This window comes from Homo sapiens, chromosome 3 (assembly GCF_000001405.40).
Source record: "Homo sapiens chromosome 3, GRCh38.p14 Primary Assembly".
Classification (NCBI taxonomy): Eukaryota; Metazoa; Chordata; class Mammalia; order Primates; family Hominidae; genus Homo; species Homo sapiens.
Genome location: NC_000003.12, coordinates 81849647 through 81877617, shown reverse-complemented (window position 1 = coordinate 81877617; position 27971 = coordinate 81849647). Strand labels below are relative to the sequence as shown.

The 27971-nt window shown below is 35.9% G+C and overlaps 1 long non-coding RNA gene across 7 annotated transcripts in view; it reads right to left on the bottom strand.

The window, feature by feature from the left end:
- Positions 1-1843: 1843 nt before the first annotated feature.
- The window catches only part of LOC105377178 (uncharacterized), a 51481-nt gene continuing 25353 nt past the window's right edge, over positions 1844-27971 (bottom strand). For 2 of the 7 annotated variants that reach the window (NR_188678.1, NR_188680.1), the window contains 3 exons: positions 20387-20528; positions 17769-17944; positions 1844-5224 (listed from right to left, as the gene is read on the bottom strand). This is a non-coding gene — a long non-coding RNA (uncharacterized LOC105377178). Of the gene's footprint in view, positions 5225-17083; positions 17194-17768; positions 17945-20386; positions 20529-26439; positions 26504-27971 lie in introns of all 7 variants that reach the window. The other 5 variants (NR_188681.1, NR_188677.1, NR_188679.1 and 2 more) reach the window with 4 other exon arrangements.

Below are 27971 nucleotides of genomic sequence, written 5' to 3'. Positions count from 1 at the left end.
ATCCCAGCACTTTGGCAGGCTGAGGCAGGTGGATCACGAGGTCAGGAGATTTGAGACCATCCTGGCTAATATGGTGAAACCTCGTCTCTACTAAAAAAATACAAAAAATTAGCTAAGTATGGTGGTGGGCGCCTGTAGTCCTAGCTACAGGAGGCTGAGGCAGGAGAATGGCCTGAACCTGGGAGGCAGAGTTTGCAGTGAGCCGAGATCATGCCACTGCACTCCAGCCTGGGAGGCTGAGGCAGGAGAATGGCCTGAACCTGGGAGGCAGAGTTTGCAGTGAGCCGAGATCATGCCACTGCACTCCAGCCTGGGCGACAGAGCGAGTTTCAGTCTAAAAAAAAAAAAATCCTGTGAATTTATTTCAGCAATAAAATATGGCAAAGGTGATGAGATGCTACTAACATTACCTTACATTACATAAGGCTCCACTGCTCCACTGGACACCTACACTTAGTAGAATGGAGTAAGAGAACCCTGAAAAAGTGAACAGTCAGTGTTGTGAACTGACTGTGAAGCGGGTGCCAAGTAAGGAACAGCAAATAGCCTTTAGGAGCAGAGACTAGTCCCCAGGCAACAATTAGGGGAAAAAACAGGAAGCTGTCATGCAACCACAAGGAAAAGAATTCTGTCAACAACCTGAATGGGCATGGAAGTAGATTCTTCCCTATTCCAAGCCTTCAAACAAGAATGTAGCCTGGCTAATACTTTGATCACAGCCTTGTGAGAAACTGAACAGAGAATCCAGCTAACCTGTGCCTGGACTCTTGACCTACAGAAACTGTCAGATAATAAATGTGTGTTCTTTTAAGCTACTTAATCATGGTAACTTATTTCATAGCAATAACTCTGTGAAGATGAATACAAGTTTATACACAGTTCCCCAGAATTCATATTCTAATTAATTATCTGGTGTTAGTTCATTGGGGTACTGTAACACAGTACCACAAACTGCTGGTTTAAACTACAGAATTTTATTGTCTCACACTTCTGGAGGATAGAAGTTCAAGATAAGGTTTCAGCACGGTTGATTCTTTCTCAGAGCTGTGAGAGAGAATCCATTCTATGCCTCTCTCCTGGCTTCTGGTGGTTTGCTGGCGACCACCGGCATTCCTTGGCCTTTGGATGCATCACCCTAATCTCTGCCTTCGTGGTCACATGGTATTCTCTCTTTGTGCATGTCTGTGTCTAAATTTCCCCTTTTTAAAAGAACGCTAGTCTTTGGCTGGGCGCAGTGGCTCATGTCTGTAATCCCAGCATTTTGGGAGGCCGAGGCAGGTGGATCACAAGGTCAGGAAATCAAGACCACCCTGGCTAACACGGTGAAACCCCGTCTCCACTAAAAATACAAAAAATTACTCAGGCGTGGTGGCGGGCACCTGTAGTCCCAGCTACTAGGGAGGCGGAGGCAGGCGAATGGTGTGAATCTGGGAGGCGGAGGTTGCAGTGAGCTGAGATTGCGCCACTGCACTCTAGCCTGGGCGAGAGAGAAAGGCTCTGTCTAAAAAAAAAAAAAAAAAAAAAAAAGAACACTAGTCTTATCGGATTAGCGGCCCACTGTATTCCAATATGACCTTATGTTAACTAATTACATCTGCAACAACCATACTTCTAAGTAAGTTCACATTCTGAGATGCTGAGAGTTAGGACTTCATCATATGAATTTGAAGAGGACAAAATTCAACCTGTAATAGGTGTTTAACTCTTCCTGTAAAAGGAAATCCTAAGAAAGAAAGAAAACACTGCCATTTTAACTTAAGGAATTATCTCTTTGAAATAATAAGCTCTCCTTTCACCCATTGTTTTGTCTGTCATAGCAAGAAGAGAGTGGAGACCAAAAGCATTCGTATATCCATTAATTTTTTAATGCATTTCTTTGAACACTTGGCTTTTACAGAGACAGGAGCCATGAAAATACATCATTACTTTAAAAAGTTGTAGTATCAGCTTCACTTATTAAAATGCAGAAGCACTTATCTAGCCTTCCATAATTTGGTGCCCCAAAGTATTCAGTCTTGGGAGACTATTGCAAATGACTTTGTGAACTACCAATATTTCCTTGGTATTAATTTATTTTACATCATATTTTTCAAACAGAAAATATGAAATGCATTTGATAGCTCTCAAGTTTAAATAATAGTATTCACTTTCAAATGATGAAGCTTTTAAATAGTTAAGAGCATCTTGTGGCCATAGAAATAGCTATTAACAAGTAAGCATCTTCTACCTGTCAGTATTCCAGTAAGCAGTTCACATAGATGATTTCATTTTCTCTTTACAGCAACCATATGAAGTGTTTGCTATATGAACCATATAAATGGACATGTAACATCTCCATTTTATAAAAGAAGAAAGTGAGGAAAAGAGAATAACCGAGGTGTCCAAAGTCATACAGCTAGAAAATGTTAGACCTGAAATTTTAGTCAAGTTCACCTTCATTTCAAAGAGATACACTGTCTTGCTGCCTCAGAGTAATGCAAGACTTATATATTTTATAAAATCTGGATTCAAAAATTCTCAGAGGCCAGGAATACCAACCATCACTTCATTATATAGATAAAGTCATTATTAACAAATACATCCATCAGTCCATTTAGCAATTCCTTTAGATAGCACCACTGATGCAAGGAAAATCAAGTAGGGGCTGACAGAAAGGCAGTGCTGATCTTGGCTGTCTTCCCATGTCTTCCCTCAGCTGGCATTCCAGGCTCTCAAATTACCACCCTGAGGTAGAGTCTATGAGGTGAATGACTATTAGGTACATTGATTCTATTGGACACAAATAAAAGGTTTTAAGGGGTTAACATGACATTAAAATGAAAAGTGGAAGCCTATAATTGCATGTATAGATCTCTGGCTCATAATACCTCAAGGGCTACTACTCTGATATTCTGTTCATCAGTTTCATACTATTAGCTCCCTTTCCCTGATTGTTGTCTGTGAATCATGAATTATTGCTTGATCTCATATTTGAACAGTTTTTGTTGTGTCTGGGTTGCTCACCTTAAAACATACGAGTTATAAGAGCGATTCAACTCCTACTTCCAAGCCATAGAAATACTTGCACACATTCCCAGAAGTTAGTTACTTGAGAAAGATTTCCAAAATTCTGTATCTATAGCCCAGTAATCAAATTATCAGATCTGTTTCCTTCATCATCACAGCATGATCTGATGAATAGCAATTGTTCCCTCTCTCTTGTCCAGCTTAGGCTGTGATTAATTTGACTGGTTTCAAAACCTGTTGTGTTTTTCCTCTGTGCCCTGCCTGAATATTGGCACAATATTATTGCAGTAGGTTGCATTACTTCCATTTTATCTTACATTTTCAGGCCACTTAATCCCAACATGTAAATTTCTGTAATATTAAATGCAAGTGAACATTTTAAGCCAAGAGCCCTAGCATTTTTTTAGTAAGACTGTGTCACTGCTCCTAAATTACCATGAGGCATGTTAACACAAAGATATTACAAATAACAACATAAAATGACAGGAAATTTAAATGATACCTGGGAATACAAAATTCATGCACTTAGGTCTACCATATGTTATATCACTCTTATCGTAATATCAATCCTCATCTCCAATCAGTAAAGCTAAAAATGAGGTGACTTTCTGTGATTACATTTACAGATTAAAACGTTACATGAATTAAAAGGAAACCTGATAATTTAAAAATATGTATTTAGTAACTATTATATGCAGCTATTCCTGGAAGAGCAGGTGGGGAAATAAAGATAATAGTCATAAACCTTACTGTTAAAGAATATATAATCTATCTAGAAGAAAATGACTAATTTTTCTCTAATTGCTTTGCCCCATATTTTTCAGTATGTCTGGATGCCTTGTTCAGTTCTTAAGATTACTACTTATTCTATGTATCTTTTTGCCAATAAAATTATTGATATTTTTCATAATTTTTAGCCAGTGAAAATAATCTAGGTCAGGTTTGCACTAGGCTTAACATATAACTGCTGTGTTCTCAGAGCTTTAAAATTCAGCTGCTGAACGTAAATCTTTAGAAAAAAGACACTCCTTTAAGAATAGAATGCTTAAAATTTTAACCCCAGTAGTGAAAAGAAAAGCTCATAGCTCAGTATTTTCTCCAGCAAATGAAAGAAAATAATTATTTCATTCCTATTCCATTAGCTGTTTATGATTTTAATTCAACAGCACTTTGGAAAAAATATTCTTCTGAAGGCTGGTTACTGGATACACTTCTAGGTTTAACACTTCAAGATAAGTCTTGGTGATGGAGGATATAGATTTGGAGGTATAGCTATCTTGTCACCTTGTTCTGCCTGCCCTCCCACTGTAAATTTTTTATTCCACATTTTAGCATTTAGTGTGTGTGTGTGTGTGTGTGTGTGTGTGTGTGCATGTGTGTGTGTAGTATAACTAAAATTCTATAAAATATGTATTATATAAATTATGTGGTTTTGTCTTTACAGTAAGTACTATTTTTATGCCCTTTGTTCTACTTCTTGAACTGAATTTTTTTATAACTTTTTATATTTTTGCAAATTTTTAAACATGTGATGATTATTTTCTATTTGTTTTCTCTGTAATTTAACATTTATATGTAATTGGTAACATAGAACAATCATAATGATGGAGAATTTATGATTTTTAAGACTAATGTTACCTAATGATCTACTTTAAAAAACACATTTTTCAAATAGATGCATTTACATGTAATGAGATGAACACATTCCAGTTTTCATAACTTTTGACATCTTACTCATACGTCAATTTTATACTTTCTGGAAGTAAGATGTTTCTGTTTTGAATGTTTACTTTTTGTGACCTTTTATACACAGCTCTGAAATTGTCATCTGTGTCTATTGCAACCAGCTGTAGTAAACAGAAACCATACAGTAACATTAAATGCAGATGCTAAAATTTTATAAAATGAGTGAATGATAATTGATGATGAAACAGTGAACATGACTAACTTAGTGCAGAAACCAAAATACAAAGAATAATGGTGTAATTCTTCTGTCACTCAAAACTGCACAATATATTGACTTAGATCATTCCATTATTAGCCATATAAGCATTACAGTGTTTTTCCTACAGAATACACAATGTGATGTAATCATCTCTTATATTTTTCAGAAACAATAGCCATAGAGTCCGCATATTATGTTTTCTGTTGGCAAAGAGCTTTTCTTTTTTTATCTTGAAAGATAAAATGTTTTCTATCTTCCTCAGATGTTTTTAAACTGCAAAAAATAAAAAAAAAGATGAAGAATACAGTGGCATATATCAAAATAATTTACTTCTAGCACTAAATATTGACAAAGAGATTCTCCTTTACTTTTTGCAGCGCCATTTAAATTCAGTGATTACATTTCTGATGTTACAAATAAAATTAACCATTTGGAAACATTATTCATATCTCAACAACAAGGTAATTATTTAATATTTTCTGCCAGGAATATTGAGGTGTATATTTTTTATTTAGAAAAGGTAAAGAAGTTAAAGTTTCAGGCTGCTTTTTTAGAATTGATGCTAGCATGCTTATGAGAATCATAACTACAAGCTCTCTATTTTAAATTATTTACTTTTTTTTACTAAGAGCATGGACCTTTTTAAGAAAAAGTCTGAAAAAATATTTCTGAAGCCCACCAAAAAGTAATGTGTGACTTCCCCCTGCTGGCTTAGTAGAATAATAAAAACAAGAAAACCCGTTGTGATAATTTTTTATATTCTAAAACACTAACGTCTTATTAATTTAGAGAACTAGGACACATATCTTTCGGAAGTTGCAAAGCATCTACCAGTAGCTGCAATATCCATTTATGTACTAAATATACAGACCCATCAACATTCATGTATATTTCCACCTGTCCACATTCACACCCAATTAGATCCAAAACCACATCAACCTTTTAACCTAAAACAATATTTAAAAAGGAAACAGACACACACACATACACAAACACACACACACACATGTAAAAATCCCTCTCTTGCCTAGTGCCAATTCAAATTTATTTGCTATCCTCTCCCTGGAACTCTAAAAACTTCTCTAGTTGTCACCAATGTGGGCTGGTTTCCAGGTCCCATTCTCTGCCTACTGCCTGTTGGATCTTGTAGCTGATACTGTACCTGGAGCTTCATGTGCAACCTGGCAATCATTGCTACTACAAAACTAGTTCACTATTAAATTATATATTTTAAATCACTTAATTATTGTTGCATCTTATTAAAATTAAAAATAACTCAATCTGATGAACCAAAAATAATAGATGCATATTTTGTATTACTTTGAATAAAATTTGCATGTTAATCAACTAGTTTCTAAATGCCAAGAAATAACTTTTCTGTTGCCTCCTCTCCCCCTGCCTTGCAGTGGGTGCCAAATAAAGATGACCCAAATTAAAAATGTGAGAATTTGAGTTACACATAAGAATTAACAACCCTGAATACGACACAGTTCCTGGGGTCTAATTCTTTCTGAAATTGCTGCAAATAAATTTATCCTTTTTAGAACTGCTGAAGTTGTATCCATATAGCAAACTAGTTCATATATTTGCTGACTGAATCACAGAGACCACTATCAGTATGTAAAATTCTCTAAGGAGTTATCAGGTCTGGATGTCAAGACAATTCAAATAATCAGACCAAGTACTTTTCATTCTGTGAATGTCATCCTGTTAAGTAAAATGACTAAGCAATGAACTAGTTAGCAACTTAGTGACTAACCTGCCCCTGGTTAAGATTGTATATCAATCCAGTCCTAAAGGCAAAATGCATTAGATGGTTACTGTTGCAGGCTGCGTTGTGTCCCCTAAAAGATATCTTGAAATCCTAAACTCTGATACCTGTAAATGTAACCTTATTTGGAAATAGGGCCTTTGGAGACATAGTTAAGATAAGGTCATAGGGTGGACCTAATCCAACATAATTGGTGTCCTTATGAGAAGAGAAGAGACAGACAAAGACACAAGGGAGAATATTATGTGAAGATAAGAGTCAGAGATTGATTAGAGTGATGTGATGACTGCAAACCAAGGGATACCAAGGATTGCCAGTAATTGCAAGGATGCTAGGAGAAAAGCATGGAACAGATCCTCCCTGAAAGCCTCCAGTGGGAACGAACTCTAACACCTTGTTTTCAGACACCTAGCCTCCAGAGCTGGAGAAAATAAGTTTCTGTTGTTTTAAGCTTCCCAGTTTGTGGTATTTTGTTATGGCAGCCATAGGAAACTAATACAGCTAATGGACGTAATATTTATTGGAAACCTACTATGAATGAAGGCACTAAATGGGTCTTCAAGCCCACAGCACCAAGGCCAAGCCATAATACCTTGGCCTTTTCCTTCAGGACACCTGAGCAAGTGAATGACAGAGAAGTGAACCAACCATTATAATTGGTCATGAAACTATCTTCAAGAGATATTATACAAGCATGTATAAAAAGTCTTAACGTAGCAATATTCCTAGAGAATATGACATCTCAGATAAGATGTAAAGAATAAATAAGAGTAAACCAAGAAATATTAGGGGCATGCTAGGGATGGAGGTGTGCAGAAATGATGAAATCATTCCAAATAGAGGCAACAGCATGAAAATGAGCCATACGAAGAGTGTGTTAAATTTCCGGAACCTCAATTCCACTCACTCCTTGCAAAAATCATGTATATATTATTTGTAGTAGAACTTATTAGGAAGAAGCAAGATTTGTGTTTCTTTACATGATCTGAGTTAATAAGATAGTCTCCCAATAACAAGATGTAATCTCCCTATAGAAGAATTTCTCAGAATAACATATGCATCAAACGACTGATCCTTTTTACTTCAAGGCATTTCTGAAAATTGAAACTCTTAAGTCCACAGTTTCTTAAACAAATATTCCAACACCACCTCTTTGCTATTCCCAAAGTCTTTTGAAAGTGGTTTTAAATTATTTCCACCTTTAAAATTTCCCAAACATCCAAGGCACTTGGACTATATTATGAACAAATTGTCTAAAAATACTCAGGCTTGCATAATCAGTAAAGAAAGCACTTCCCTCTATAGTACGAAGTTCAATAGAGCATCTGAAATCAGTGTAGCTAATAGCAGAGTTCAGATGAAAAACTATTCTGAATCTCAGAGGTTACATAAGCAGAGTATTAAAGACATTCTAGTTACTATGGTAACCTCATTTTTTATGGATTAGTAGAGTAAATAGTCTTACAAATCTTCAATAATCTGTTGACAAGTTAAGGTTAACCAGGGTAAAATTAAACTATAAAGCTTTCTTTTTAACAAATATAAAACAGAAAATTAGTGACCAGTATTTTTTTCAGAAGAAAGACACAAGTACTTACACAAAGGTTTAATTGCCTCATTTAGAGTACTGATCTAGAATTCACGGTATTATAAATTTTGCAGTAATGTATTACTGAAAACTGCTTAAATGCATAAACTGAGATTCTCTCCCTTTTTGACCATCCAAATGTATATCTGCTTATGTTATTTTTTCATTTCAATAAAAGAAATTTTAATGAAATCAATGCCAGAACCACAATTCAAAATTTGCTATACTATAGTATATCTTTTGATTCACTGATTGTTATTTTTTCACATAAGTGACATGATCATATTCTAAACTCCATGAATAAAAATTTTACCTCCTGATAGAATACGTGTTAAAGTCATATTTAAACATAAACCAGTTAGTTAGATCAATTATTTTTATCCTAAATTCATGAGAAATATTAAACCAAAAACTGAACTTTTAGATCAATGGGAAAATTATTCTTGGCATTTTCTCTCCAACACCATGGCATATTTCTGAGAACTCTCTTCATGTGTATGTGCCAGTGTATTATGCAATATCCCCTGCACTCACATTTTTCAGCAAATGTTCTCAAATCAATACTTCCATCTTGCTCAATGATTTTTCTTTCTATCTACCTATCTCCAAGTTTAAATTCTCATTGTTTTTCAAAACTTTTCAAGCACCTCCAGAATTTTATCTAATCTACCTGAAGCATCTTCTGAAGCAAAGGAATCAAGCTTGAGTTCAATTCTTTTGTACAACATCTCACATTCCTCAAATTTATGACAATTTCAGTGGTAATAGTAAATCCAATTACAAACACCCTAAAAGACTATAAGGCCATTTTCTGGCATTACTATTTTACAATTTACACACACACACACACACATCCAGATAGATAGACAGACAGACTAATAGATGATTGATTGAGAGAGATAGATGATAGATAGATGATAGATAGATAGATAGATAGATAGATAGATAGATAGATATAACATGCAGTCATTCTAAGTAATTTAAAACAGATAATAATATTTGGTAACCTTGTAAGGATATCTTAAAGAGGCACACATGTGCACACACATACATACACATACAAAGTCCTTTGCCACTAAACCACAAAAGAAAAATTCTAGAATAAACAGGTGAATCTGATTTAAAATCTCAGGAATCCTTTCATTCTCTCAACACATGCCTTCCTCCTGTTGGCCACGTACAAATGCTTTTAGACTCTGGATCTCTAAGGGAGAATAGGAGGGAGTGAGGCCTGGCTCAAAAAGGAAGTTTACATAAGCCCGAAGTTCAAATCTAACCCATTTGCCATCAGTACTTTGCATGACCAAATCTATTATCTAAACATCCAAAGAGTATTTAAACAGATGACCCTAAAAGCAAGTCAGCAATATCTTTATCTAACAAAATGAAAAAGTAGGAAATGTTAGTATAACTATTAGTTATATAACTACTATATGTCCAACAATGTGCATGAGTTAGTTCCAATTCTGTTGAGGAAATCAACTCTTTAAATATTCCATAGGCTGGACATTTTTGTCCATTTTTCAATATTAGCTGTTGATGTCTTCTAAAGCATAATCTACTCATACAATTCTCAGATTACCTGCTTCACATTCCCATAACTGTCTTCCCCAGATCTTTAAAAATAGGCTTATTTATAGGCTCAGTTTCTGACTCATTACTCTTTCCAAAATACCCCTTAGTATTAGTTACTATTTGTTGAACAATTGGTATGGGCCAAGTGATTTACATTAACTAACTCATTATTTTTCAGAGCAGTAAATAACATTACCTTTGTTCACATCTAGGTAAATTTAGGCTTAGAGGCGTTGAGTTACTTGATTTAGTGTGCATGGCTATCAAGTGTTGAAAGTCCATTTAAAACCTAGATCTTTTTCAACCCAAAGTCAAGGCCCTTAATCTCTATGTTAAGGGTTCTCAAACTTGGCTGTGCATTAGATGGCTTGTTAAAATGTGGGTTGTTAAACCGTAAGCCTCGAGTCTCTAATTCAGGGTTTTGCAATTGTGACAAGTCCTCAGAGAAGACTGATGCTGTTGATCTTGGACCTGTGAAAGGAAAATCAATCTTGGGACCCCAAAATTACTAAGCTAAAGGGAAAAGTCAAGCTGGGAACTGCTTAGGGCAAATCTGCCTCCCATTTTCTTCTTTAAAAAGCTAGCGGCCAAGCACGGTGGCTCACATCTGTAATCCCAGAACTTTGGGAGGCCGAGGTGGGTGGATCATGAGATCAGGAATTCGAGACCCGCCTGACCAACATAGGGAAGCCCTGTCTCTACTAAAAATACAAAAAAACTAGCTAGGCATGGTGGCAGGTGCCTGTAATTGTAGCTACTCAGGAGGCTGAGGCAGGAGAATCGCTTGAACTTGGGAGGCGGAGGTTGCAGTGAGCCGAGATTGCGCCATTGCACTCTAGCCTGGGCAACAAGAGTGAAACTCCATCTCAAAAAAAAAAAAAAAAAAAAAGGATAGCTACTAAATAAAAAAGATACACACCTCCCTCACAAGGAATTTCCTAGTGGACAAAGGACAGACAGAATTCAAAATCATCCCTCTGCTCACTGAGATAAATGCATATCTGACTGCTGCCTTTGGAAAGGCTAATCGGAAACTCAAAAGAATGCAACCATTTGTCTCTTACCTACCTATGACCTGGAAGCCCCCTGGATGGAACCAATGTACATTTTACATATATTAATGGATGTCTCCTATCTCCCTAAAATCATGTATAAAACCATGTGCCCCTACTGCCTTGGGCACATCTTATCAGGACCTCCTGAGGCTGTGTCACAGGTGCACATACTTAACTCTGGCAAAATAAACTTCCTAAACTGACTGAGACCTGTCTCAGATAGTTGGGGTTCGCAGACCACACTTTTAAAACATTACATTATGATATACTTCAACCCCCACCCACACCTTCAACATGATATAGCAGTGGTTCGCAATCCCAACTATACCTTTGAATCACCCATAGATTATCAAAATAAGAAAAATACCCATGCCTGGGCTCCACACCAGACAAATTACATCAGGGGATCTGAGGTGATTTGATGCCTGGATATTAGTTGTTTTTAAAGTTTCCCAGGTGATTCTAAGGTACAGCCAGGTTTGAAAACCACCTAGAAAAGGTGAAAGGAGCATGAACTTTGTAATTAAATGCTCATGCTTCAAATCTTAGTCCAAATGAGAGATTACATTGGCTTGGACAATAGTAATAGCAGTGGGGGAAAGTGGTAAGTTTCTGAATACATATTGAAGGAGGAAACAATGGGATTGTTCTAGTAAATTCATTGTGTGGGGTAGCAGAAAAAGGAGTTAAGGACATTCCAAATTTGGGGTCCTGAGTCCCTGGAAGGGTGGACTTGCCATTTATAAAGAAGGAAAAGATTTGCAGAGAAACTGGCTTGAGGGAGAAAAATCAGGACTTGATGTTGACCAGGTACTATTGAGATCCCAGTTATGTAACCAAGAGAAAGCTACTAGCAGGATGATACTGCTGTTTAACGGGGAGATCTTGGGGTTTCAATACAAATGTGGATGCCACATTCAAAGAGAGTAAATAAGATCATGTGGACTGTGCTGATGAAGAACGGATCCTTGACCTGAGCCCTGAGGCACTCCGGTGGTTGAGGAGGGGAGAAAAACAAAAAATTATGTTGTCCCAGAAGGAAAGCAAAGCTAATCATGCCCAACGCTGACAATAGGTACAGTATCGGCCACTGAAGGCCATGGACGTCAGTGGCAAACATAATTTTATCATAGGGAAAGGGACAAAAGCCCAAGTTGGAGTGAGTTTATACGTTTTAAGTAAGGTTGATAAAGCATTCCCAATTTTGTTTTAAATTCAGCATTGTCTAAGTAGGTCAGAAATGGTTTGGCACTGATATTACAAAGATAAACAAGATCTGGCTGGGTGCGGTGGCTCATGCTTATAATCCCAGCACTTTGGGAGGCTGAGGTAAGCGGATCACCCCTGAGCCCAGGAGTTCAAGACCAGCATGGCCAACATAGCAAAATCCCACCTCTACTAAAAATACAAAAATTAGCCGGGCATGGTAGCATGTGCCTGTAATCCCAGCTACTCGGGGGCTGAGGCATGAGAATTGCTTGAACCCAGGAGGCATAGGATGCAGTGAGATTGTGCCACTGCAATCCAGCCTGGGTGATAGAATGAGACAGAAAGGGAAGGGGAGGGGAGGGGAGGGGAGGGGGTGAGGAAGGGGAAGGGGGAGGGAGGGGGCGGAAGAAAGGAAGGAAAGAAAGAAAAAGAAAGAAAAAGAAAGAAAGAAAGAGAAAAAAAGGAAAGAAAAATACAAGATCCCTCGAGTTCATAATCTAAAGGAAAACATTTATAAGCAGTGTTAAAACTATTCACTAAATACAAAAATAGAGGGACAGATAGTGTTATGGGAGCAATGAAAAGAGAATACTCAGCTTTTGATTTTCTATTTTCAATTTTCAGGTAAGGATTTTTTTAAAATATGCTGCTTCTGTAAGTCACGTAAGGACAGCCTAACCTACCAAGGAGAAGCAGTCAGTATGGCACATAGTGTCTGAATTCCAGAAAGGCATTAGGTTCTAACACAAACATAACATCCAATTTTTATCAGCAAATTAAGGTTATACAGCTTAGACAATATTTGTATATTGCATCTCACCAGCGTTGAGCTCAAAATAAAACAACTGTCTTGGTTGTATCTATTGCCAAACCCAAACTTACTGACAGAAAACAGACCTGACTCTGGGCAGACTTTCCTTAGCCAACTCCTTCCGCATCTTGATTGTTTTTCTCTCAGCAAACAAAGCTCGCCCTTTCAGCCCTTAAGAGGTTCTAAACTTAAGTGGAATCAGTGGCTGGGATTTTCTTTCAAGTGAGTATTGCCTTCAGCAAGGGCGTCCCGCAAAATGGATCAGATCCTCCCACTGCAGGAATTCCTCACTCTTCAACGCTCTCGCTGTCTTTCCTCATAGGGGGCCAGGGGAAGGTTAATTGGTAATTTCTCTTTGAATATGAAGCCTATTTAGCTAATTACTTGGGTTTTTGATGTTATTTTTAGAAGACTGGTTTAGAGATTTGTTTTAGAGGTTCTTTTCCTTCCCTTCAAATTCAGATGTCTTTTTAAACTTAAAGGCAAATACAATAAGTCTAATTCGATTCCAAATAATTTAATTAAGTGGATGAGCCCATTGTAATTCTGTGGAAATTAGATCCTCATTTTATAGAGGGAAATGAAATAACTCCCTTTATAAATGTTATGTGAGGTTTGAGGTTGAGAAACAGGAAACTAGCGGTAAAATATCAGATGTGAAAATTCAAACCTTGTATCCAACAGAAGTTGAAGTGAATTCAACTAAATGTCACTTTCTCAGTAACCTTCCCTGATCACACCTTCTACATTATGTCACCTCCTGTTATTCTATAGCAAGCACCCCGTCTCTTTCCCGCAGAACTCTTATTATAGCAGGAAGTTATTTTTGGCTTACTAAATAGTTTATTACTTATCTACTCCATTAGAATGTAGACACCATGAAATCAGGAATTGTTTTTCTTATTTTCTTTGTAATGCACACATTTTCCCCAGTACTTGAAAAACATTAAGGATTTTAATAAATATTTGTTGAATAAATGAAAGAATAAGTGAATCAACCAACTAAGTACATAACACTCAGGTTGAAATCATCCAACTACCTAAAATAGTGGCTATTAATTTTTTGGACCATAACTCACAGTGAGATATGTTTTCTTTTTTTTTTTTTTCTTTTTAAGATGGAGTCTCCATCTTTTGTCAGGCTGGAGTGCAGTGGCACGGTCTCAGCTCACTGCAACCTCCGCCTCCCTAGTTCAAGTGATTCTCTTGCCTCAGCCTCCCAAGTAGCTGGGACTACAGGTGCACACCACCACACCCAGCTAATTTTTGTATTTTTAATAGAGACGGGATTTTACCATGTTGGCCAGGATGGTCTCGATCTCTTGACCTCGTGATCTGCCCTCCTCGGCCTCCCAAAGTGCTGGGATTATAGGCGTGAGCCACTGCGCCCGGCCAGATATGTCTTTTTTACTGGCATAATTTATTACTTTGTTCAATTATTTTTATAAGCTGTATTTAACTGGAATTTTTGTTTCTGTTTTTATTTAGCTTATTGTCCCTTTTCCTTTCAACAGAAGTGAGAAAAGGAAAATAGCTCAGAGTGTTCTGAGCTATGTGAGGTATTCAAAATGTATCAGGTCCAGAGAGACAAGAGTAGGTACTTCAGTCACATTCTCCCCATGTTCAGGGGTCATTGTTTAAAGTAATTTTGGTCCTCAGCAGCTGCCTCACCCATTATCTTCATGTTCCTGAAATTTGTGATACAAAGAACAATGTATAGCCAATAATAGCTTATGTTATTTTAATATAAATTTTTGGTAAACCACTTAGGAACTGTCTCCTCTTTTCCTTTAAAAACCTTCTTATAGCTGTGGTTAATTAGGGTGTATATTCAGGGCAACTTGAAACGATGCTCCCAGGCTGCAGTCCTCAAACGTGGCCCAAATAAACTCTCAACTTATATTAATTTTGCCTCAGTTCTTTTCTTTAGGTTGACAGAAGAATTGCCTTAAACATTTTTTCAATGATTTAAATAATTTATTTTACTTTTTAAATCTTATTTTATGTTTATCATTTATCATACATTGTTACCTATTTTCTTAGTGTGGTTGGTTTAATCAAGCTGCTATATATTCTTCTTTTTCCTCTTAGAAATGTGGACATCCTGGTATATTTTTTTTCCTCCTTTAGTGGCTACCTTCATTCTTCACTAATATTCGAAACAGTAAAACTTTTTCTTATACCAAGATGCACTGTTTTCTCTACCAAGACATCCTATTTCCACAGTACCCTATCAAAATACCATACTTCGCCCATTTTCTTCCTAAGTCCCAGAGGAGGCACTTGAAATAATCCCCAGCCTTCCACTACCCTACTCACAACTCTTAGCTTTTGTTCAGATATTCTAGAACTAAAAGTACCAAGCTACTGTGAGGATTCCCTTTGTTCTATGTTTCTTCTCTCTTAAGTACGCTTAGTTGGAAGTTCATTCCACACACTCTGAGTCTAGGTTGATCCATTTAAGTTCTGTGAAGCAGCAGTTACCCCACAGCACTTTCTACCAGTTCTATTAAATTTCATTTATTTTTAAGTGCTGGTCACAACATCCTAAATTGATTGTGTTACTCACAAAAGGATGTGTCCTTTGCTTCAGTCCCGGCCACTACAGAATCCTGCCTCATTCTGGAAAAAAACATGCCCTCTGGTTGTACACATCTACTCACATCAAAAAGTCTAATAAAAACACTCAGCATCACACCTCAGTTGCTGGGTTGTTGAGAACACCTAAAAAGGTATCTCTTCACCTTAGTCCCATCACTGAAATAACAGATTTATTTCAGAAGGTAAATCTTTACACTGTCATTCCCTGCACAGAATGACAGAGAAACTTGCTCACATCCTCTAACTTGGCAGAATGTCTGACTGGACTTTAGAATCAGTACCTCGCACCAACTTTCCCATTTGTCCTTCCCCATCCTAGAGCCATTCTACTGTATAGCACAGCTTTCAGCCCTCTCTTTTATGTTTACCCTGCTCTGTACTCTCTGATCTGCCACTGACTCTCCTCAAGTAAAGGGATCATCAAGTATAAAGTTTTAAGAAATCTTAAAAAACCAAAAACTTCTAGCCTGATAAATGGAGCCATCTAGTTTCAATAAAGTTTGAAAAGTTAGTAAATCTAAAGACCAGAGTGAAGTTAATCTCTAAATTCTGCCTGTTTTCAGTGGTTAAGAGGATATTGCAATGTCCAAATTGATTTTAAGAATTATTCAGTAAGATAACAATTATCTTCACTATTTGGAAATAACCCAGCAGCCATCTTATTTTTAAACAAAACAGTGTCAAATTAATGGGCCTTATATGCATATTTACCACTAGACTTTTCAGCCATTTCTGCCCCTTTAAAAAAAATAAAGATCGATCTTAAGGAAATATAGATTGTTGGGATCTTAGACAATGGTTATCAACTTTAGCTGCATGGTAAAATCACCCCAGACTAATTAAATAATAATCTCTGGGAGTGTAACTGCACGTGAGCAGTTTTGAAAGCTCTCCAGATGATGTGCAGCCAAGTTTGAGAATGACTACTATATGCCATGAAATTAAAGAGACTAAAAATAAATAAGTAAATGAAGCCTGCACCAGCCTTGAGGAGGAAGGAAGAAGGGTAGTTGGAAAACAAAACAAAATACAAATCTCCTTGAGGTAGAAAGCAATTGATCATTCAAAGCCTCCTTGTCTAACCTCTAGGAAATTTTATTAAAATTCATAGGTAAAAACAAACAAAAAACTATATGAAGAACCCTTGGGTGATCGTTGCCTGGTAACACTTAGCGGTTACACTGAAGGGGTAAAAGATTGTAATCCTTCAAAAAGTGTCTTCTCTTGCTTTTTAAAGAGTTGTGTGGGGTGCTTTGGTAGCCCCAATGAAGAGAAACGAGAGCAAAGGGAGCTTAACAGATTTTCTTCACAGCCAGGGTCAGATAAACCTTGTACCAGCCCATGTGGCTGCTAGGAGTTGCTGGGGTTTGTAAAATTCCACATGAGGAGGGAAAGTCAGCTTGTAATCATGAAGCATTTTTATGTAAGCATTTCCAATAAATAGCCAAAAAAGATCCGAGAAAAAGGGATGTGATTTATTTTAATTTGTTCTCTCATTCTACATGAAATTCCACTTTCATACCTAATTTTGTATTTGTAATTTTGCATGCTTTTCCTCAAAGAGGTCCTCCACATTGATTAAGCTTCAGGCCCCCAAAACCTGGATTCAGCCTTGCCCGCAATTGATGCCGGCTTAAACAAAAATAATACAAGAAAGCATAAATCTTAATTCAGATTTTTCTTCCTACATATGCTTTATAAAAAGAAAACGAGAACATGTAAAATCAGCCAATGAACAAATCAACAGCATTGAAAGTTTCTTATAGAAATCTAAGAAGAAAGACAGGTTATTTTATTTTGTAGTTAACTCTTATGTTTGGGGAAGTACATAGGAAATAGTTGATGTTTTGTTAAAACTGAGTCATCCAAACTGTACCTAGGATTTCATAAGTTTTTTTTCACCATAAATATTTATGTTTCAGAGAAACTATTAGACATTTTGGAATATGTATTAGGAGCTCCAAATTTTGCAGCACTCGTTTGCAAATACCCCCTAATATCTAAATAATGTGTCCCCACTTACAAGCCACCATCACACATCATCTGATGTAGGAGCCTATGAGGCAAGCATCTCAAGGATTTTTTTTTCAGACCCTGTATTCTCCTACAGGCTGATGGAGAAAGTGAACCTCAAAAGAAGATTAAAGAAATTGTCCACAGTTACTCTTAGAAGGGTGCAGAATGAATTTAAAGCTGAGAACTCTGACCTTAATTCCAGTGTTTCTTCCACAGGACCATACATTTCCTCATTCTCTTCCATTTTCCTGTTATCCTCCACTGCCTTCTTCACATCTACCTGTATGCACCTTATACCTGTAACCATTACTCACAAAGGACATGCTGAATAACCTCCATATATGGAAAGTTCTGATTCATGAAGGTGCTAGCCAAAAAGCAAACAACCAAAAATGAGTTGAGGCAAGCCAATCAACATAAAATGGAAAACCTCATAGGTGCTAGCAATATTTTTCTATTAAAATGCCAGATTCATGTACTCTATTCAACTCTCCGCTAAAGAACTTTTCAATTCTTTACTCCTTAATGAGAAGCCAAACTATATATGTTACATGCTTAAATAATTATTTCAGAAGCCATAAGATGTCCATGTAATCAGAATAAATTTTTTCATGAACTTGGGACCTAAACTTGGCCCTTTTCGTTCTTAATCCGTAAGGCTTGTCTGCCCAAAAAGCCTTTCACTTTCTCTGATTTGTTTTTATTTTATAACATTAACTCTCATTTTGTCCCACTGAAGATTGCTTCTTGCCCAGCAATGATAAGCAAAAGATTCAGAGATGAAACAGCTGGTTCTAATACTTAATTGTCCATTACATAGTGGAATACAGCAACATTTTTTACGTAAAAAGAAGAGAAAATAAAGAAAGGAAAAAAATTAACATATAGCAAACCTTGTAAAATTACAACAATATCAACATAACAACACCAGAAAAGCAATATAATTTTGTTTTCCCTTTTCCTTTTTAATTTTCAAAACATGTTATCCTTAACTATTTCATTTTTAACAGTAATTGTATCGAATAACATTGACATTTCTTTTAAAGTTTATATTCATTTTACCATTCTGAAAAGTCTCTTGAACTTTAAAAGTGACCTCAGATTTCTGCAATACATGCTTGCATTCCAACATAAAAATATAATTAAAATTTTGAGCCATTTAATAACAAATATGATATATGGCAGGCCGTGTTGCATTTTTTTAGCTTAAAAACACAAAATGTACTCACCTGGAGAGAAATGTTAAGAAATGTTATTGGAATGAAACAAAAAGGCTTTAATTATTACAAGAGTATTAAATGTTTTCAAAAATCACCTGTTTGGTAAAGACTTGCTAAGTAATAAAATACAGAGTATTTTCTCTAGGTTTACCAGTTTTTTTTTTTTTTTTTTTTTTTTTTTTGAGACGGAGTCTCGCTCTGTCGCCCAGGCTGGAGTGCAGTGGCGGGATCTCGGCTCACTGCAAGCTCCGCCTCCCGGGTTCACGCCATTCTCCTGCCTCAGCCTCCCAAGTAGCTGGGACTACAGGCGCCCGCCACTACGCCCGGCTAATTTTTTTGTATTTTTAGTAGAGACGGGGTTTCACCGTTTTAGCCGGGATGGCCTCGATCTCCTGACCTCGTGATCCGCCCGCCTCGGCCTCCCAAAGTGCTGGGATTACAGGCGTGAGCCACCGCGCCCGGCCGGTTTACCAGTTTTTAATGAGAATAATTATATACATTATCTTGAGGAAATGTCCCATTTGAGAAAGGTAAAAAGAATATAGTAAAATATAAAGGAATAGGAACATAATGAGTACTGTACTTATAAATCATAGCTGACAAAATAGTTTAACTATCATCTGCAGGAGAGGACAACAATTAGAAAATTTAAAACTTCTTATTTTAGATGTGTTTTCATTCTGAAAGTGAATTTCTTATTATGAAGTTATGCCTTGATTATTGGCCATTACCACTAGCAATAAATGAAACTATTCCTAGGTTTCTGAATATATTAGCATATCATGTCATACAGTATATGGGAGGAGCCAAAAATCAACCATTGCTTTAATACACTAACCTCATGATTAAAGCATGAGGCATTGTTAAGCAAAATTAGACTGTGGAAATTATACACAAAAAGATGAGTCATTCATTTACTAATTGGTCCTCCCTATTTCTGGCATAGGAACACTGTCCTTTAGGCATAATTTATACCTTTATCAAACAAGATAAGAATTATGATGATTAGAATTTAGAGGGATTGACTGGGCCCAGCCCTGAGCTATCTTATATGATGGAACTAAAAACAGGATTCACAAATGAGGTTTAAATATTTGAACACAGAAAAATAAAAATCAAAAGCCACACAATCACATGTCTGTAACAAATGCAATAGCATTAACGTGAAGTACAGAGAACAAAGTGTTAACATAACTGGTCACAAGGCCAAACACTTTAATCTAAAGTAAAGTCCTTTGTGTAATGCAAGGAAGTCTATATTGGAAGTAAATTGACCAAAAAGTCAAGACTTCAGAATAATCGTGAAATTGTACATTAACTATACTTTTCAAAATAATGCCATAAACTTTAAAAAATGACTAACAACTGTTGTGACTTGATTAAAAAGAAGGAATGATAATAATTCATATTCACCTTTATGATTCATTATGGCTGGCATTAGAGAAACATTCAAATAGGGCAGAGATCACATATTTAAATATAGGCTAATTATTTTCACCCATCAAAAACAAACAAACACAAACAACTCTAATCTGTTTCCAGTAATTATGTCTAAGACTTATTATATTTCTATGAATGATGAATCATACCACTAGTATCATCAAACAACACAGTAATCAAGGGTGCAGTCTCTGAATCCACATTGGCTAGTGTGGAGTGTCTGCTGGGATGCCTTCTGACTGTGTGACCTTGATTATGGTCAGAGACTTTTCTGTTCAACAGGTTCCTCATCTGTAAAATAGGAATAATAATAGCAAGTACTTCATAGGGCTGTAGTTGGCAGGATTGAGAGGACTATTTCTGACATGGAAATTCAAAATAAATATGACCTATAATATTACCACTACTATTACTACCACTGTCACTATCGCTATTACTCCTTCTGCAACCAAGAGAAGTCTATTAAACTGCAAATATCCTTGAGAGTGGACCAGTGACATCTTTCTATATAGCCCACTAAGGAAAACATTTCATTACAAAGCACAAATATCAACAATTCCTTTTCTTTCAGGCCATTTCTATGTAAGAAATCCAATCAATAATTTGCTATTGTAATTTGCTATAATAATTTCTCCTTTTAAGGGATTGGCTATTCAAAGAGTTAAAAACTAACAGACAGAGCAACTGCCATAGCAGTGGATATTATCATTCATGAAAGTGTGATTTGGAATTATGTCTTTTTTTCTACAACTTGAGATTTTAGAAGTCTAGGTAAAGGAACCTACCCGATTTTTGTAAGTGTTCAATTAAAGGTGCAGCTCTTACCTTGGAGTCAATAAAAATCTACCAGACTCCTGAGGTCAGTGAGTTGGGGAAGGGAAAAAATGATAGGATGTTCCCCTCATACCCACTTCCTCCTGTCAGTTCCTGCATTTTCTTGCAGGATAACAGGTCTATGGAAACATTTCCTCTAGCTCAAATGCACACCTCATTATCAAAAATAACACTCAAACTCTTAGCTTGGCAATTCAAGACCCAGCTTGCCTTTTCAGCTTCATTTCCAGTTACATTATTTTCCAGTTTTTACTGTGCATTTGCAAAACAGCTTTGGTGCTGCTCCACTCTCTCATTTCCATGTTTTTCCCCCATATTTTTCTCTCTACTAGAAATGCATCACTTTCCCCCATCTCTAACAACAAAAGACTCATCCACTCTTTAAGGCCCCACTCAAATTTCCATAATGCCTGCTGTGACCTACTCTTCCTCTTGCCACCGTAATGTGCACCATTTCTTCCACCACTGAGGTCCCATCCCCTAAATTTCTAATGTGTTTATCTCCTACTCTCTGGCATGCATGTAACTCACTGTATTAGTCCATTCTCATGCTGCTATAAGGACATACCCAAGACAGGGTAATTTTTTTTTTTTTTTTGAGATGGAGTTTCTCTCTTGTTGCCCAGCTGGAGTGCAATGGCATGATCTCGGCTCACTCCAACCTCCACATCCTGGGTTCAAGTGATTCTCCTGCCTCAGCCTCCCAAGTAGCTGGGATTACAGCCACCCGCCACCATACTTGGCTAATTTTTGTATTTTTAGTAGAGACCGGGTTTCACCATGTTGGCCAGGCTGCTCTGGAACTTCTGACCTCAGGTGATCCACCCGCCTTGGCCTCCCAAAGTGCTGGGATTACAGGTGTGAGCCACTGCACCTGCCCAAGACTGGGTAATTTATAAAGTGGCTTAATTGACTCACAGTTCAGCATGGCTTGGGAGGCCTCAAGAAACTAACAATCATGGTAGGAAGAGAAGCAAACATGTCCTTTTTACAGGGTGGCAGAAAAAAGAATAAGAACAGAGCAAAGGGGGAAGTCCCTTATAAAACCATGAGATCTCGTGAGAACTTACTCACATCATGAGAATAGCATGGGGGAAACCATCCCCATGATTCAATTACCTCCCACTGGGTCCCTCCCAGGACAGGTGGGGATTATGGGAACTACAATTCAAGATGAGATTTGGGTAGGGACACAGCCAAACCATATCAGTCACCATGTGCATGGGTTATTTACTAAGTCCTACTCACCAAATCTAATATGTATGATACGTTTAGGTGTAGCAGATCAGCATGATGTTCTAAGAAATGGCAGACTAAGCAAAATCCCTGGAGATTAGCTTATGACAGAAAACCTGACAAGTTAGAATTTAGAAAGAGTAGGTGCTTTGTATAATCTGAATGTTTGTGTGTTCCCAAATTCCTATGTTGAAATCCTAGCCCTCAAGGTGATGATATTAGGAGGTGGGGCCTTTTGGAAGGTGGATCAGGTCATGAAGACAGAGACTTTGTAATGAGATTCGTGCCCTTATAAAAGAGGCTAAAGATAGTGAGGCATGGTGGCACACTCCTGTAGTCCCAGCTACTTGGGAGACTGAGGTGGGAGGATCATAAATTTAAGCCCGCTCAGGGCAAAGCAGTGAGACCCCTATCTGCAAAAAAATAAAAAGGGGCCTAAGGGAAATTTTCCTCCTTTTCCACCATATGAGGCTGTAGCAAAAAATATGTCATCTATGCAAAAAGGAACAGGCTCTCACCAGACTTTGAACATGCTAGTGTCTTGATCTTGGACTTCCCAGTGGGCAGAACTGTAAGAAATAAATCTCTGTTGTTTATAGGCTATCCACTTTATGGTATTTTGTTATAGCAGCCCAAATGGACTAAGACAGTAGGAGTACTGCTAACTCTGCCAAATGAATTCAAAACTCTTTTGGTAGTCTTTAAGCATAGAAAATAAAGCATTCACTAACTCAGTAGTTGCATACCAGTTACCAGATGCTGCACTGATTTGTTCCAATAAAGAGAACAGATCTAGAATAGTAACAGAAATTGGAATTGCTAGTGGTTATGTTTATGATAACCCATTGTCATTCTCCAAAATTCATTTGACTTCTCTTCCAAATAGTCAAGTTAACAGAGATGTATCTTACAAGTCTTTGTTGGAGGCATAAATACATGCAATCTTACTTAGAATGTTATATTCATTTTTGTTTGCTATTTTGGGAGGGAGGGGAAGTTCTAGGTTGTAGTGGCTTTGTTTTTCTTTTTTAGCACTCATCTTACCATTTATAGACCTTATGCCATTTTTCAGGGAATAAAAATAGTTATTTTGCCAGCATATGGCAACTGATTAAGGTTTAATATTGGGAGTTGACTTTCAGCACAGCCAGAATACAGAAGCAATACCAGATCTGGTGGTTTTTATTTACTTTTGTGTGTCTCACCCTGAGACGTACTCTGGTATTAATTTCCTAGACCATCCCTCATCCCCTTTTCCATATAACTTTCAAAATCTATCTCTTAAACACATCAAAACATATTATTTGTTTTTTAATTAGATGAAGAGTTGTATGAATCTATCAGTCCTTACTCATTCTGTGCATATATTTTTTCATTTGGTTTGATTTGGTTTGGTTTACTTTTCTCAAAACAGCACAGCAATCCAGCACATAAAATAATGCTGATAATAAAGTAACATTTTTGACTGGTTACTATAAAACAGCATTCTGTTAAACACTTCATGTACAATACATTATTATCTTACTTATTCTTAGATATAGTGCTACTACTAATAAAAGCTAACACTCATACAGTCTTTCCATGTGCCAGACACTATTACATATATTTACTTATTTAATTCTAACAATAAATCTTTGAAGTACATATATACTATTATCACTAGTTTATAAATAAAGAAGTAACACATAATAAATATCTGTTAGCACGTTCAAGTAACTTGCCCAAAATCACTCAACAACTAATTAGCTAAGTTGTAATTTAAACGGATGTAGTCTGGATAGAGAAACAATATTCAAAACTAATACGTTGTACTGTCTCTGAATCTTACATCTAGCTTTTTAAAATGTATTCCTGTTCAATTTATATACCCTTTAATTTGTTTGCCATGAACTTTCCTGTACAGTAGCTGTGCTAAACATGCTCTGTCTTCTGTTAATAAGTTCTTTGAGAACATGGCATGTAATGTTTATATTCTTGCAATTAACACAATACTATTGTCATATTTAAGGTACTTAATAATTATAATTATTAAATTGATTGGCCAATTGTGCTCATCTTAGAAAATGCTGCAGACCGAGGACTGGTGTTGGAATGGATGTTCTTGACAGAAAGGATCACATTATGGGGAGCAACCAGCTCTGAAAGTTAACAGGTGTCATTAAAGATCGAGCAGTAAGTCCCAACTTACCAACTAGAGACTCCCAAAGAGTTTTATAGATTAATAAATTAGATAATGTAACAGTGTCAGTACTTAAACCAGAAAACAACAATTTCATTATTTTTGCCGCTATAACCAATCGGGCTATTTGGGAATCCAATTAAATATTAGATTATTATGTAATAATTTCTGAAAAGGAGAATTATCTTAGATCTGCAGAAACCAAAGTACCTATATAATAAAGAAGCAATAGTTGAATAAATATAGATGAGATAGAGGCTTTGAGTCAAAGGCTCAAAGAGTAAGATTTAAAATTTATAAAATATGTATATTTTATAGTATGTTTAACCCCACAAGTTTCAAGTATGTAAACCTTTCTCCACCATTTTAGCTATAATTGTTATTTCTAATCTGATTCATTATGTAACCTTATTACACATATTTATTTCCAGAAATATTATCTATAAATGCTTGATCATATTCATCACTTACTCCAAAGAACTGAATTAAAGAACGGCTGCAGTATGACAACAATCTTTTATAAATATGATCTCCCAAAACTGATATAAGGATGAAAAATATAAGCACTTAAACGCTAACATTTGCATTATCTAATTGAGATCCTATGTAATAATTCTTAACTTATAAACCATACTGCTTTTAAAAGTTCAAACTAAATAACATATTCTTAGCATTGACATTAGCAATTTATAAGAGATCCAGAGGAACTAGACAGATTTCTATTTTAAGATAGATTTAAAAGTATGTTAGAAGTGTGTGTGCTGAATGAACCTCCTACATGCAGAATCTTTTTTTTTTAATACCATCTCAAAACAGAAATAATGCTTTTTATCCTTTGAAGCACAGAAATTTAACTCACAGCTTCTCTAGACACTAATAGGTTGGTATAACCAATATGATCTTTTGATCAAAATGAAAGAAGGGCTGTATTTTGGGCTCAGCCACTGTCTGCAGAATGAATTAGACAAAATCCTGAAGGGGTAAGAGCTTTATTTTCTCTGACTGTAGATACAATTAGCAAGGCATGCTGAGAACCTTGGGTGAAAGGAACAAATAGGTGTTATTATTCTTATTTCCTGTGTTAGTGCATTTACTAGTGTAGTAAAATGGAGGGGCATTGATCTGGGAGTCAGTAAACCTATGCCCTAGTTCTGGCTTTCCACCCAAACTTGCCTTAATAACAAACTCTCTAAGCATCACTTTCCTAATAGATGAAAATAAATGTATTAGTCTTTGATCTATCTTGCTTATTACTATTAGAATTTTTAAAAATTCAGTAATTCAGATGAAATATTGCTTATTTATGCAACTTCTTCCTTGTACTAAAATAATAATGATAAATATATATTGTGTATATATATGTACACATACACGCATATACATATACCTACATATATGTGTGTATATACATATGTATTCATATATATGAATTAAATATGTCACATACTTTGTAGAAGGATTTATAAACTATAAACTGTCAAATGCTGCATATTTATTTCATTTACTTTATCGAGTATTTATTGGATGCCTTATATAAGCCTGATTTTGTGTTAGGATTTAGCTAAACAGAGAATAAAGACACTGGCTTTAGGGTGCAAGTCTAGATAAGTTAGAACATATAAAGAAATAAGTAATAAAGACTAAAATGTTTCAACATCTATGACAGAATTATGTATAGGCTAAAGAAAGGCACAAGAAAAAGAGCTAAATTCATCATTTGAGAGGTCACTGCTGGACACCTTCCAAGAACTTGGTAAACTGTAGTTATGAAAAGGACCCTGTAATAAGACTGTCTTATCTCTACAGCAAACAAAGAACAGATTTCAGAAGGCAGAGGCTCCAGTTTACTGGAGCTCCCATATAATGAATTGTCCACTCATCCTTGTTATTTCTTCCTTGAACCTGAAAACTAATTTCATCTTAATTATCTGTAGTATATATTTGTTCACATACTTGTTTTTCTCAATCGGTCAGTAAGTTCCTAGAATATAGGGACTGTCTTCTTTATCCTCAGTACCTAGCAGAATATATAAATGCGTAAATAATATTTATGACTGTAGAAATGCAAAGATGCAACAGGAAAAGCAGGAATTTTTATTATGTAATTTTTAACATAGTATTGATCAACCGAGAGAAATCTCTGATGCCAAAATTGTTCCCCGAACCTGAAAGAAAATTAAACCTGTGTGTGTGTGCACATACATATGCATGTATGCATAGGTGGCCAGGTAAACTTTAATACAGTGAAGTGGAAAGAATATGGGTTTGGAATTCAAATAGACTAGAACTGGCATCCAAATGATATAAGATCTAGGGTTAGAGCTCCCAGAACTTTAGTTTCCCTTTGTAATTTAGTAAAACTAAAATTGCAAATCAGAGGCCTTTGTTCTTATCTCACAAGACTTAGCCATGACAGTGCAAGACTATTGAAATATTGTACATTATCATGGATACAATTTATTTTCATTTATTTTTGTAAATAGTGGCCTTTACCACTATTTTTCTTCAATTTCTGGCCTTTGAACTTCTCTACTTGACAAAGCAAAAGTAGCAGTAAATTTGTTACCGTACTTCCATGATTCTAATTTGAGTTTTTTGTAAATATGAAACTACATTACAAAATGTGCATGATTTCTTATTAAGTATAGTTGTTCATTAGAAAAAAAAAGAGGAGTCTAGTTCTCAAAGTAATATTAGTGATACATTTAAATACATGTAAACCTGTGCCTGGGGAAGCCTTTTCTCACAGGATCAATGAGCTCAAACTGTCTCTTTACCTAATGTACAAGTTCAAGGATAATCTTTTTGTAAAGTCATCTTTAAAAAATCTCTACTTATTCTATATACTAAAATTATAGAAAATATCATTTAATGCAAAAGACCTAAATGAGTGAAATATATAGTTAATTATATATATTAAATATATAATTAAATATATAATTTAATATATAATTTAATTGTATATAATTAAATATAATTAAAATTATATAATATATAACTGTACACATATATTTCACTCATTTAGGTCTTTTGTATTAAATATTAATATATATTATATATATATATTTCACTCATTTAGGTATTTTATAAATCCGCCTTGGGTATGTGGCTTGTCTCTGTAAAAGGACTTTGAGGGCAAGTGTCGCAAAACATATGCTATACCTAGGAGAGTGTTTGCATCTGAATATTTGTTGGTTGATAATGGTTTTGTCACTTTGAAAAAATAGCTAATAAATTTTCCTCTCAAAATGAGTTTCCTCTAAACTAAATTTGCCTTACTATCCTCAAAGCACTGTGCTATATATTCAGGAGACAAAGAATAGAATACATATTTGCTCCTCTAAAGAAACCATAATTTAGCTAGGAAGACAGAAAACTTCATCAAAAAGCATACTCAAGGTGACATATAATTATCAAATGGGGGCTTAGAAAGAAAATTAAACCTAGAAAGAAAAACCTATATTAAAAAGATGTATGTGGAATTT